Source organism: Homo sapiens, chromosome 2, assembly GCF_000001405.40.
Source record: "Homo sapiens chromosome 2, GRCh38.p14 Primary Assembly".
Classification (NCBI taxonomy): domain Eukaryota; kingdom Metazoa; phylum Chordata; class Mammalia; order Primates; family Hominidae; genus Homo; species Homo sapiens.
Window position 1 is genome coordinate 190,085,561 of NC_000002.12, and position 14,974 is coordinate 190,100,534.

General features: G+C 38.7%; 1 protein-coding gene across 3 annotated transcripts in view; it reads left to right on the top strand.

The window, feature by feature from the left end:
- The window catches only part of AKAP19 (A-kinase anchoring protein 19), a 323,923-nt gene that overhangs the window by 205,999 nt on the left and 102,950 nt on the right, over positions 1-14,974 (top strand). For 2 of the 3 annotated variants that reach the window (XM_047446008.1, XM_047446009.1), the window contains 2 exons: positions 5,337-5,410; positions 9,959-10,042. The gene's annotated coding sequence lies outside the window, so the exon portion shown is untranslated. Of the gene's footprint in view, positions 1-4,822; positions 5,093-5,336; positions 5,411-9,958; positions 10,043-14,974 lie in introns of those variants that run through there. The other variant, XM_011511983.2, reaches the window with a different exon arrangement.

Here is a 14,974-nt window from a genome sequence, read left to right on the forward strand (position 1 = left end):
TACTGATTATAAGATCACAACGTACTTGAGGCCATGGGCCATTTCTTTCCTTCATTTGTGTTCCCCTTCCCCCTGAACAACTTATCACATAGTATGAGCACGTTGTAGATGTTAATGTATACATAGATTAGATTTGAAATTGGTAATGACCTCACTGTCAATGGAAAATAGGACACTGATCATCCATACCATACAGTGACAAAACATTTCTTAAATGATCAGCTTTTGTTGCTGGTAACCAGGTGCCTCTCAGCAGCAAGGCTTAAGAGATGAAGTAACTGGTGCAATAAAATATTATAGTGGAAATTATGAGCACGAAGGCCATGGGAAAGGTTCTGCTTGCACTAGAAACTACCTAAAAGACTGTCTTGTTTCTTGTACCAGTGGGGCTGAAATAGCCAAAAAACAAACCTAAATTTGCTTCTACAGCTTTCAGCATTACAGTGCAGCCTTTCTAGGCATAGGTTAGTAGAGTGGGATCCTGTGAATGGAAATATTTGGGTAGGTTCTAATGAATCCAACTACAAATCCTTCACTTGTGTTTCCCTTCCTCCAAAGAAATCTATCACATAGTATAAGCACATTGCGGATGTTAACATACACATAGATTAGACTTGAAATCAGTAATGGCCTCACTATCAATGGAAAATAGGATACTGATAATTTGTACAATGTAATGACAAAACATTCCTTAAAATATCACCAATTGTTGCCTGAATTAACAAACTCCACTGAGTCTTAGTTGTTAGTAGGAGCAGTCCTCCTCTTCCATCTGATAACCTGTAATAATTTCACCTGAGGTGGTTTATTTGCAGGAAGATGACGAATCTCCTAAATGTTAATTCTCACTACTTATCACTTCCAGACCCTGACCTATTCCATAATTAGGTTCAAATCCTCAAAGACCTCAAGGAAGATGGGGAAAGAGAAACATTAGAAAATATGCACGATGGTTGCAGTCTACACAATTTATGAGGCCATAGTAGGTATTTGTAACTCCCTCTTCCACTTCCCTTCCCATGCTCCCTTTGCTCAGTTATCATTTTAGCTAGGTGTTATTATTTATCAGTCAGAGTGACCTGAACCTTCATTCCTGAAATATCTGAACCATTGTGGTTCTTGCTTGGCTTGGTTTGCTCTAATCTTGTAAATTTTACCATGGATATGGAAGGAATTGCTCAGATATGGATATGAAAGGAGTTGCTCAGAGAATGTCTTGCCTTTGAGACATGGTCTTCCCTCTGTTTTGTAGTACCACCACTTTTCCCACTTTATGATTAGGATTAATTGTCCCAGCGAATACAGTAATCCCTTTCTTTCCTTGTTGGTTCAGTGCCTTGAAGACCTCAAAGTGGCTGATGTGGCAGTCTCAGCTTCCATTCAAAGGAACCCTTCTAGTGTTTCCTGGAAAAAGTATTCCTTCCATGGAAACTAAGAGCACAACATTGTGAGGTTGGAAACAAAAGTTATGTGAGTAGGTCATTAGGAATAATAATGGAACCACCAATACTTTTACACTTTCATTTTCAGATCTAAGTATTCTGGCTATGGAAGAAATAGCATTATATATTAGTTGCTGGCTTGGGAAATATACAATAACTTGTGGGACAGCAACCTAGTCTTACAAGTGGCAACATAAGTTGTCAATAGATTATTCTACCATTTAATCAAGTCAGATTTTTCCAACAGACATGAAACCATTTCTTCAACTCAGATTCCTTAAATCTCTCATCAGTGAGACTAGCCAGATCATAGTGGGAGAAAAGAATCCTATGTTCTTAAGCCCACACGTGATCAACATGCCCGTTGCTAGGGCCAAAGTGTTCATGGGCCCATTGTACAAGCGCCAGGGTAGCTAGGGGAGGCAGCTAACTGGCATCCACAGGATTGGCCATACTCTTTACTTGATTACTGAGAATCTGTTTTACAGTGGATGCCTTTTAGTAAGCATTAATTTGGGACACAGATATTCTCACTCTGCTTACTCTGAGAGGCCCGTCCTAAAACTCTTCCTCAGGCCTCCCTTTAACCATTCCTCAAATTCTGTTTTCCAACCCGCTGACTCCTTGGCCAAAGTGCCACTTGCCTGTGAATCAATGTCGATCTCTACTTCTGTCTGTCTTCCAGTTAGGTTTTGAATCATACATCATGAACCCTTCCACCCTGAGGTCTTTCCACCCTGCTCAGGGGCATCCTCAGAGCAGGCTCTATAGTGTTCCCAATTGGTCATGAAACCAATAAACCTCTATAACCTTTCTAGTCAGAATGGGACAATCTTCTATCTTGTTCTTTTTACTTAAAGCCCTCTTCTCCCTTCCTTCTCCAGGGCTCCTACCATAATCTTTTGTATAAAAGATAAGGAGTTTTAAAACCTCAGATGGCTTAAGTTTTCCCCATGCAAAAAATTCCGGACACACACAAAAAAGTAGAAAAGAACCTGGCTACCTGCTTGAATAATTGGAGAGGAAAAAATTACAGAGATCATCCCTGAAACACTGTAAAGTATGTATAGCTGATATTATTATACCTATTTTAAAGATGGCAGAAAGGAAATGTGGAAGGAGTAAAGTGACTTTGCCAAAGCTTCCATAACTACCTAAGAATATGATCAGGGACCAGGATTATGCCTTCTGGTACAGTGAGAGGAGAGTGAATGCACAAACCCCATGATCGTGATATGTCTGGGGACCTCTGATTTAAGGAGTGGAGAAAGAGAAGTATTGATTGGTAGAAGAAAAATGAAGATGCAAAGAGCACTCATGAGTGGGTGGTCCCAGAGCTCTGAGTAGAGGGTAAGAATCAGAGTCAGGCCTTCCAGAAAATCCCAGTATAAGGTCCTTTACCATCGTTTCCTTTTTGTCCCTTTGCTTAGTACATTATCAACAAGTTTTAGAGGCAAAGAATGGAAAAGGACGTAAAAAGAATATCCAAATAAATATTTCAAAAAGATTAAAATAGAGATGTGGAACATAGGTAACCTAGTGAAGGACAGAACTACTTAACATTCCAAAAATAAATTTGAGTCAGATACAAAGTTGTATAAACTCATAAAGGCTAAAGAAAAAAAAAGTATCATGTTAATATCAATTAGAAATTCTCTCTTCGGCAAAATTGAGTTTTAGTTAACTAGATCAAGTGAATATTTTAAAATCAGTGTAAGAGATTTTTCCTGGACATCTCATTTTGTGTGTTATAGATACTTTTATTAGTTGTAACAGAAAACTCCACTGATGGAAACAGGCCCAAGAATTGAGGAGACATCTTTACATTCTGGTAATCCCAGCTGTGTGACCTAAAGCAAGTCATTTAACCTCTCTGGGCCAAAGGCCTGTTTCATCAATTATGAAGTAAGGAGGTTATGCTAAATGTCCTCTAAGCGTTCTCCCAGCTCTCAAAATCAGTTTTTCTATGAAAATTTTAGTTATTCTCATGGAAGCCCTGACTTAGGTTTTTAGTTTAAAAGATAGGCTCCAGCAGGGGTCACTATAGCCACATCGAGCTTTGAGTCCAATGCTCTTTCATGTTGTAGTTGATTGTGTGCAAATCACAGTTACCCTTTGTCTTGATTTTTCCATCTGAGACATAGACTCTCTTTGTACCTAAATGTAATCCAAATCGATCTTCAAATGTACTCAGCATGTCCATTTCAACTAGGTTTTGTTGTTGCTGTTTTTGTTCTCTGATTCTTTTCATTTATTTATTTATTTATTTTTACGCTGAAATTGGAGATCATTTACTTCCTTTGACTCTGGGGTCCTTCAGAAAAATATATTTTATTTGATTAGCTATGTTTAATTTTTTGCCTCTGAGAACTGTGATGAGTAAGTATATTTCTTTAAATATATGAGATTACATTAAAACAAAACACAAAATTCAGTCCTATCCTGAAGGTTTTTAAAAATTCTATGTACACCTGAAAAATGTATTCAGCTCCTTTAGAACCCCTTTTTGAAAATTCTAGAATTCTTCTAATGGCTTCTACTCCTCCATAGTTAACTTGCTACGTACATGAAGCCAGAATAGACTAGTTCATATATCCAAGAGCAGGGTAAGGATTTCAACGCCAGTTCTAATTTCAATATTACATGTTTTTGCCCTAAAAACTTAGTGACTGTACATACACCATAAAGAATTTGAGGATCACTGTTGATGCTCAAAGGTAGACATTCAGCAAAGTGTTACTCCCGAAAAACCACAGGACTCCCCAGAGTCCTAAGTTTTAAGAGTAAGTCTTGAGTCTTACGTCCTAAGTCTTAGGACTCTTGAGGACTATGATTCAATTTAGGACTACTCCAGAGGGGTTCAGTCTGCCCCAAATGCCCTCCACAAATTCCATATACTATGCAAAACCTAACACTGGTTCAATTGTGCTAGGAGTCAAGGAGAGTTAACTTCTTACACCATGCAGAGCAGTGTTTCTAGTCCTTTGGCCTGGTATATATGCCCCTTTCCCCAAACTACTCTACTTAACCTAGAGTAGTTCTTGTAGGTGTATGGTGTGCAAATGTAATCTCATTGTCCCTTTTTTCTCCTTATAACTACCTGCCTGCTCCTTTGGGAGAGACTGATATTACCCTTTTCAATTGCAGCACTCCTGCTGCTGCTGCCATTTCCAATATTATTGTGTTAAAGTCCTCATCTAGGCAGGTAGTTGGGTTTATTTCTAGTTGTTAGCAAGCGAAGAAAGCCTTCTATACACTCCTTTCACAGTAAGTAGGGGATGGCCTGGTGACAAACACAGTGAAAGTGATGGTGTATGACTGCTGAGACTAGGTCATAAAGGGCATTGCAGCTTCTGCCTTGGTCTCTTGGATTGCTCACTGAGAGCCAGCTGCCATGCCTCAAACAGTGCCATGGAGAAGATCTGAGGCCTCCTGTCAATAGCCAGCACCAATTCGCCAGGCACATTAGTGAGATAGCTTCAAAGCAGATTCTTCCCAAGTGGATTGAGTCTCCTCTCCAGACTTCTTCAGAACAGTCTTTTTTCTACTTATGTATAGCCTCAAACAACCACCTCAGTCTTGATTTTATATAACCAAGTTAGCTGCCATAGCTAACTGATCACGTGTCTTTGAGTCCTAGCCTGTGTAAGGTTTGTATCCCTTGCCTGATCATGTGTGAAAGATGGAGGTACATAGTTCAGACAAGGCTCTGATAAAAGGCAGAAGGTGACTCCCAGGGAAAAGTGTGTGAGCTGAACAGGTCCCTCAAATGGTTTCTATCAATGTCCTGTCCTACTTCTCCCCTACCACTAGTACTTTCTTATCACAGTACTAATACTTAGCGCACTGTAGTCTAATTGCCTGCTTATTTTTAATGTCCGCTCTTTTCTGTAGGCTCCTGAAGGGCATGGACTCTAGCTTATTACAGACATACCCTGGCATCTAGCACAATACCTGGCACATAATAGGTAATAACATAAATTTTGTTGTAATAAATGAATAACTTTGTTTCAAAGGTGTAAGCCTTATAAAAAGACTTTGATATTTTTACTGTAGAGTTGCTAACACATTAATAGAAGAACCATCCACACAATTTGAGAACTGAATTTTACTGTTTACCAGTTGACACTTTGCTTCATATTTCTAAGAATAGGAAATGCCTATAAAGTTCAACAATATACTGCCTTTAAAAAGAAACTTTCTAATGCCATGTAAATCAGATAACTTGTCAGCACGTCAGTGGCACATGTCTACATTCAGGGACTGAAACAGAAACTCATTTTAAATTTAATTCTAAAAGACTGAAAAATATTATTACAGAAAGTTCCAGTTTGACACATATGAATTTATTTCAGAAAGTCTGCTATCTCACAGGAATTCTAACACTAGGATACTTTGATAATAACTGAAAGGAATTTATTCAAACTGTACTAAAATATGCTACAAGAGTGACCTACTTTTGAAAGTAAAGAACTGTTTCCTATGTTTCTTAAAGTAGAAGAGAACTTATTTGTATCAAATTAGTAGTTTATCCTCTTTTGTTAAACACACACACACACAAGTAGCCCAAATAGAACCATTTTAAGAACTGAAGAGGCCATGTAATCTACTTTATTGATTACAAAGCCTAATTGATTGTGTAAATTATGTCTTAAATTTCTAGAGGCCAAACTTTCGATCTTGAGTTTGTACCAGAATATCCCTGTGATCCCTTTCAACTACAGAATTTTAGGATTCTAATTATAAACACAGAAAATATAAATGTGCTTAAAATTCTTGGTTTCTAAAATAGTTTTTAATACTTGAAATAATATGATTACAAAGTAATACATATTCATCACAGAAAATTTATAAAATATAGAAAACACAAAGCCAAAACTAAAAATCACTCATAATTCCTTTATTCAGGAGTAATTAATATTAATATTTTTGTTTATCTACTCAGTAAATAAACAAATTGACTGACTACAATATCTTCCTCAGAAATTAAATATTTTTACACATTTTTAAATGACTTATCATTAAACATGACTATACTATATTGTATTATGTTATGTTAATATATGGCAATTTATTTCATTAATATTCTACAGTAGGACACTTAGATTCTTTCAGATTTTTGTTATAATAATATTCAAAACACATACTTAATGGCAAATCTTTTTGTAAATATGTGTGTGGAGGCTAAAGCAAAATTATCTGGATGCTAATTTGTCATGTTGACTGCTGATTAACTCCAGTTCCAAGAAGGCCTCTAAGATTTCCAGTTTATTGATTGTTCCTTGTGTAAGAGAATGTACTTACTGTAAATCCTGCCCTTAGGTCAAAATGACCTTGATATTATACATCAATTGTCCTACACATTCCTTCTGAATCACACATATCTTTTCCTTATGTTCTATAAGTCCTGGGTCTCGGGGGTAAGGGCACAGGGATCCACCGTTTTGTCTTGCCACTCCTGAGACACAGGCATGGTTTCTGTTCCTAAGTCCCTATCAAATGTTTCTTTCTCAGAAACTGGGTTTGTCAGCCTCTTTCTTTGGCCTCTCTGCTTCCTTGGACTTTCTGGGGTAGGTTTGCATAGACCTGTCCACCTCAGAACAATATGTATATGTACTATTTAAAAACATACACATTAATACACATATTTTTAAGAATCTGAGTCAATTTTCCAAATTATCATTCAGAAAGATGTAGTGATTTAGAAGTCTAACAGAAGTATTCAAAAGTTCCTGTTTCCCCCAAATCCTTGCCAGTCCAGAATAATAGCCTTTTAAGAAATCATTGTCGGTCTGATCTGTGAAAAATATTATTTCCTTGTTGTGAGGATAATTTTATACCAGATCAAAGGAGAGGAGTAGGTATTAAAACTAGAGTTCTACTGACTAATTCTAAACTCTGTGAAGAGTTTTACTTACAGCGAGTCGATTGCTAGAAGCAGAGGAAAAGGGAAATACCAGAAATACCCTGTTGTAAATTTTTCTTTTTTAGTAATATAATAATTTATATTCATGAAGATGATGCTTTTCTGGACCACACGTCTGAAGAAACTTCAAACCATAGGTAGAAAGTATATAGTTAGTATAGCTATAAGTATCAGGGCACTAGATGAATGTTTACAGTTTAAAAAGTAATTAAGGCCGGGCATGGTGGCTCACGCCTATAATCCCAGCACTTTGAGAGGCCAAGGCGGGTGGATCACCTGAGGTCAGGAGTTTGAGACCAGCCTGGCCAACATGGTGAAACCCCGTCTCTACTAAAAAAAAAAAAAAATACAAAAATTAGCCGGGAGTGGTGGTGGACGCCTGTAATCCCAGCTACTTGGGAGGCTGAGGCCGGAGAATCTCTTGAACCTGGGAGGTAGAGGTTACAGTGAGCCAAGATTGTGCCACTGCACTCCAGCCTGGGCGACAGAGCAAGACTCTGTCTCAAAAAAAAAAGAAAACAAGTAATTAAATACTAAACTAAAATAGTAATGTATAGGGCAAGAATCAGAAAATAAACATTGTTGGGTGACTTATAGCAGAAGTAGAGGAAAATAGAGTTTAGTTTAACATTATAGAAATAAAGATTTGTACTCTTGGCCTGGTAAAATTTTAAACTGTTGCCTCTAATAGGATAATGTTTTGCTCTCATATTTCCCCTTCTTCATCCATAATTTCATTTCATTTTGGATTATTTTTATTTATGTGATCTCTTCGCTTTCATTCAGTCTTTTGGGAATATGACTTCTGCAATGTGAAGGTGAAATTTGCCCGTGTGTAATTTTGAAAGGTTGTTGATAGATTCCAAACACAGCTGTCAGTATATTTTTACTTTGGGAATTTCTTGCCTTGGTAGCTTGACCACAATCAGGAAGGTAGAAACATGGCTAGCAGCAGTCAGAGACGAAAGCAGTCTACTCACCCACTCACCTCCAACTTGGGCCAAGAAGGGCCTACCCTCTGTCCTCATCTGTCTTGTGACCAAGCACATGGTGCTGTTACGAAAGCAGCAGCTCTTTTATTAAGGACCAGAGCCTTGCATTTTCTAAGGCCCCACACCCCTGCAAGAGTGTTTATCCTCTCCACAGCGACAGAGTAAGCTCCTAGGTTGCTTTAGTTTGACCTCCCACTATGTGGGAAAAGATTGGTAAATAGGAGTCTTGTGGCTGGAAAGCAAGATGAGTGGGCTTGAGCAACAGGAAAGTATATCTCCATTTGTAGGGATTTTCTAGGACATCATTTTCAGAGAAATAATATTTTTAAAGGTTTTTTTAAAAAGGGGAAACATGCTGTTTAAAGCATTCCCCTAGTGCCTTTAGTGTACCAGAAGTTTTGTGTATTATTTCTGATCTTTTCAGCAGTCCTATGAGGCTGATACTGTTACTGCCATTTTGTAGATAAGAAAACTGAGCTTCTGAAAAGTTAAATCATTGGCTTAAAGTCACAGAGGTAAAAAAGGCCGTGATTGAAACCCAAGCCTGATTTATTACAAAATTCCTTACTCTTTCCATGCAGCTTAGGTTTTGCTTAAAAACAGCAGGGGAGTGGAGTTCAAAGTTTGCAAGTGTTTATTCTTCTATTTCTGTTTAGATATGCAGTATTACTTGATTTTTTATTTGAACCATGTTTTTCAGCAATCAAAGGATTTATTACAGGATGTTTTCCTGCCGGCAAAGTCTATTGAGCTGAATCACAAACACTGCCTTGCCTTCTGTCACTATTCATAATTTATAGATTGTTGGTTCCTCATTAGCATTATATCCAAGTCATGTATTTTGAACGATCCTTTCAAGGCTTTTGTAAGGATGATAAGGGAGAGGTGGGGCCAGGCATTTTATAGATAACTTTAAGTAGGAAACAAATGATTACTTTATCTGGATATGGATCATTACAATTCTGCTGGTTCAAGAAAAATAGTATTCAAAGAAAGTGAGAGATAAGTTGAAAGAGTAAATAGGCCGGGCGCGGTGGCTCACGCCGGTAATCCCAGCACTTTGAGAGGCCGAGATGGGCGGATCATGAGGTCAGGAGTTCGAGACCAGCCTGACCAATATGGTGAAACCCCATCTCTACTAAAAATACAAAAATTAGCCGGGTGTAGTGGCCCATGCCTGTAATCCCAGCTACTCAGGAGGCTGAGACAGGAGAATCCTTGAAACCAGGAGGCGGAGGTTACAGTGAGCCAAGATCACACCACTGCACTCTAGTCTGGGCGACAGAGCAAGACTCTGTCTCAAAAAAAAAGTAAATAACCAGGACAATGATCCATGAAAAGCACTAAATGTAATTGCTATAAATCAAGAAATTGAAAAATACCTTTGGTAATATCAGTGCAATGGAGTGAATGTTTATGTCCCTCCCAAAATTCAGATGCCAAAATCTGAATCCCTGATGTGATGGTATTTGAAGGTGGGACTTTTGGGAGGTGATTAGGTCCTGAGAGTGACCTCACGAGGAGGATTAGCGCCATTATGATGGACACTCCAGAGAGCTGTCTTATTTCTTTCTACCATGTGTGAACACAATGAGAAGACAGCAGTCTGCAGCCTGGAAGAGGACCCTCACCAGAACCTGACCATCTTAGCACTGTGTTTTGGACTTCCAGGCTCCATAACTGTGAGAAATAAATTTCTGTTGTTTATCAGCTACCCAATCTATAGTACTTCGTTATAGCAGCCCAAATGGACTGACACAATCAGAAACATATATGGTGGGAACTCAGGATTCAATCAGAGAAGAAGAGTGGATGTATACATTTCTATATTGTCTTATAGTGTATTATATATGATATACACAAAGGAATTTATCACAATAATTTGACTTTATGTAACTGGGGAGTCTCTGTAAGGCTGCTGTCTTCACATCTGATGATGGAACTTGTAAGTCTACAAGACAGGTAGGTGAGAAGGAAAGATAGATGTAAAGAAAGGGGGAGCAAGAACAAGCTGGACCCCACAAGCATAAATAAGGTGGAGCCCACAGGACAGACTGAAACCACATCAGTTCTTGTCTTAGACCTCGGTGGTGTGGGTGGCCTATAGAAGCTGGGCTTTTCTTCATGGAGCTAAACACCCATCCTGGTCTCAGGAGTCAAAGAAGCTGAAGGAGTATCTAGGAAAAGGTGAGGCAGTTTTGGTAGTGTCCACGGCCTCTAATACTTCCTAGATAAGTGACAACATGGTTGGGCTGCAAAATGGCTGCCACTTCATGTCTGCCCTCCATGTCTCCCACGAAAGTCTCCTGTGGCCCAACCTAACAAGAGAAACATACAGGAAAGGGAAACTTGAGAATTTAGTTCAGGCTAGCCATGTTGGTACATTACAAAGTTACCACAGTAAAAGAAATGATTATTATGTGTATAGCACTAGAATAAAATGGACAAAATGCTTTTGGCCAAAATAGAATGAACTCTTCATGAGATGAATTCAGATGCCTTCTGACTAACGTAACACACAGCCCTTCTTTTTAGGGGTCTTGCTGTCTCCCTGCACCTTTAGCAGGTATGAAGCCTAGGTCATATAGCCCTATTTCAGGGAGTTTGCTGCCTGTCTGTGTGTTGGCCTGGAGAGCATGGTGCTGGGCTTTTTTTGCTGCTGTTAACTAATATTCATGCTATCATTGACTCTGCTCTCATATTGCTTCCCTTTCTTCTTCCCTGATAAGTGATGTTTTAGTCCATGTATGCTACTATTACAAAATATCACAGATTAGATCATTTATTTTTAAACAATGTATTTTCTCACAGTTCTGGAGGCTGGGAAATCCAAGATCAAGGCACCAGTAGGAGTCAGTCCTCTCAAACTCTGCTGTGGCTGTGTATAATATCTAGTGAGGGCCTGTTCCATCTATGTCATCTTCTCATGGCATCCTCACATGGTGGAAGACAGAAAGGCGAGAGACAGCCCAACTCTCCCTCGGATCCCATCCATGAGGGCAGAGCCCTTGTGGTTCAGTCACTTCCTAAAGGCCCCACCTCTTGATACTGTTACACTGGGATTAAGTTTTAATGTGCATTTTGGCGAGAGACACAAACATTCAAACCAGAGCAATTCCCTTCTCAAATTTCCAAGTCTCAAAATTTTTTTTTCAAATTTTAAGTTCAGGTGTACATGTGCAGAATGTGCAGGGTTGTTACATAGGTAAATGTGTGCCATGGTGGTTTGCTGCATAGATCAACCCATCACCTAGGTATTAAGCCCAGCATCCATTAGTTATTCTTCCTGAGGCTCTCCCTCCCCCTAACCCCTACCCCAACAGGCCCCAATGTGTGTTGTTTCCCGCCATGTGTCTATATGTTCTCATCACTGAGCTCCCACTTATCAGTGAGAACATACAGTGTTTGTTTTTCTGTTCCTGCATTAGTTTGCTGGTGGATGGTCTTGCCTAGATATTGATGGCAGCTGACTGATCAGGGTGGTAGTTGCTGATGGCTGGAGTACCTGTGGCAGTTTCTTAAAATGAGAAAACAATGAAGTTTGCCACATAGATTGACTTTTCCTTTCACAAAAGATTTCTCTGTAGCATGCAGTGCTGTTTGATAGCATTTTACCCATCAAACTTCCTTCATTTTACCCTTAGAACTTCTTTCAAAATTGGAGTCAATCCTCTCAAACTCTGCTGCAACTTTGTCAATTAAGTTTACGGAATGTTCTAAATTCTTTCTTTTATTTCAACAATGTTCACAGCATCTTCATCAGGAGTAGGTTCTATCTCAAGAAACCAGTTTCTTTGTTCATTCATAAGGGGCAAGTCCTCACTAAGTGTGGTGGCTCATGCCTGTAATCCCAGCACTTTGGGAGGCCAAGGTGAGAGGATCACTTGAGCCCAGGAATTAGGACCAGCCTGAGCAACACAGTGAGAGCTGGTTTCTACCAAAAAAAAAAAAAAAAAAAAAAGAAAAGAAAAGAAAAGAAAAAGAAAAAAAGAAAGAAGCAGCAGTAAGTCCTCATCTGTTCAGGTTTTCTCATGAGATTGCATATCATCAGGTTGTAGTTCTCTTGCTATTTCCATCACATCTGCAGTTACTTTCTTCACTGAAGTCTTAAACCCCCCAAAGTCATTCATGAAGGTTTGAATCAACCTCTTCCAAACTCCTGTGAATGTTGAGAGTTTGATCTCCTCCCATGAATTATAATTCTTAATGGCATCTCGAATGGTGAATTCTTTCTACAACATTTTCAGTTTACTTTGCCCAGATTTATCAGAGGAATCACCGTCTATGGCAACTATAGCCTTATAAAATATATTTCTTAAATAGTAGACTTGAAAGCCAAAATTCCTGCTTGATCCATGGGCTACAGAATGGATGTGTTCACAAGCATGAAAACAACATTAAGCTTCTTGTACATCTTCATTAAGCTCCATGTATATGTGAAGATGTACACCAATGCTCTGGTCACCGAAGAGCAATGCACCAATGGTGCATTGTCAATGAGCAGTAATATTTTGAAAGAAATATTTTTTTTTTTCTGAGAAGTAGGTCTCAACAGTGGACTTAAAATAGTCAGTAAACAGAGATGCCATCATCCAGGCTTTGTTCTTTCATTTCTAGAGCACGAGCAGAGTAGATCTAGCATAATTCTTAAGGGCCCTAGGATTTTCAGAATGTCAAATGAGCATTGGCTTCAACTTAAAGTCATCAGCTGCATTAGCCCTTAGAACAAGAGAGTCAGCCTATCCTTTGAAGCTTTGAAGCCAGGCATCGACTTCTCCTCTCTAGCTATGAAAGTCCTAGATGTTATCTTCCAATATAAGGCTGTCTCATCTACATTGAAAATCTGTTGTTTAGTGTAGCCACCTTCATCAATGATGTTGGCTAGATCTTCTGGCTAACTAACTTACTGCAGCTTCCATATCAGCACTTGCTGATTCCCCTTGTACTTTTATATTTTGGAGACTGCTTCTTTCCTTAAACCTCATGAAGCAGCCTCTGCTAGCTTTAAACTTTTCTTCTGGCACTTCCTCATCTCTCTCAGCTTTCACAGAATTGAAAAGAGTTTGTGTTTTGCTCTTGATTAGGCTTCAGCTTAAAGGAATGTTGTGGCTGGTTTGATCTTCTGTCTCAACCACTCAAACTTTCTCCATATTGGCAAAAAGGCTGTTTTGCTTTTTTGTCATCTGTGTATTCAATGGAGTAGCATGTTTAATTTCTTTCAAGAGCTTTTCTGTTCTATTCACATCCTGGCTAACTATTTGGCATAAGAGGCCTACCTTTCAGCCTGCCTTGGCTTTTGACATACCTTCCTCACTAAGCTTGATCATTTCTAGCTTTTGATTTAAAGTGAGTCACATGTGACTGTTCCTTTCACTCAGCCACTTAAAGACCATCGTAGGGTTATTAACTGGCCTAATTTCAATATTGTTGTATCTCAGGGATCAGGGAGGCCTGAAGAGAAGGAGAGAGACAGGGTAATGACCAGTTTGTGGAGCAGTCAGGACACATACAACATTTATTAAGTTCACTGTCTTATATGGACACGGTTCAAGGTGCCCCAAAACAAATACAAAAGTAACATCAAAAAATCACTGATCATAGATCACCATAACAGATATAATAATAATAATAAAATTTGAAATCAATTGCAAGAATCACCAAAATGCGACAGAGACACCAAGTGAGCATGTTGTTGAAAAATGGTGCCAATAGACTTGTTTGATGCAGAGTTGCCACAAACTCAATTTGTAAAAACCACAGTCATTGTGAAGCACGATAAAGTGAAATGCAATAAAATGAGGTGTGCTTGTGCTTAAACATTGTAGATGCTCCATACTTTTCTTGATAAGTAAATACATTTTTTGAAACTTTTCTCAGACTTACCATGATATAACATGAGCTGATGGGAATGAATCCTTAACTCTTCTGCTCTAAACATAGAATAACATATGGCTAAAACTTCTTTAGGTATGAAGCTGAGTTTGAAATCAAGAAAGAAAGTCCCCCTAGTATTAGAATTAAAAAGGAAACTTCAAGTCAGAGTGCTAAGCAGAATCTTATGCCCAAACTGCTCATAGAATTGTTGCAATCAGATACAGGCCTTAAACACTGGAGTTGGTTCTACTAATTGTCTCCCTGAAAGGAGATTACAGGCTTCAGACTGTAGGATTAAAGCTAAAACAGCTATTTAGATAAATCCGGGAGTCATAAAGGGTTGGGCTGACTTTGAAATGGAGACTAAGGGAACTCTGCCCATCAGCCCAGTTAAGCAACAAGAAGGTTTATTAGTATCCCAGGATGATGAATGAGAAAATATCACCTGCAAGAAATAAAAAAAAACCAGTATGTGCCATGCCAAGATGGGGAGTCTGAAATCATGCTGACTATGTGGAAGGACTTTGAAGCCAGGAAATCAGCTAAAAAGGGATCCAATTCGTTTTTGTTGCTGTTTTGGTTTGGTTTGCTTTTCAGACCTGCTCCTTCTGTAAGGAATCCAGTTCTTTCATGCAAGTTGAGACAAAGAAAAAGTATCCTATAGGCTACTTTTCCACAGAGAACTCTCTTCTAATGAGTAGGTCATAGTCAAACATTGTAAATCATACCATAAAACAAAT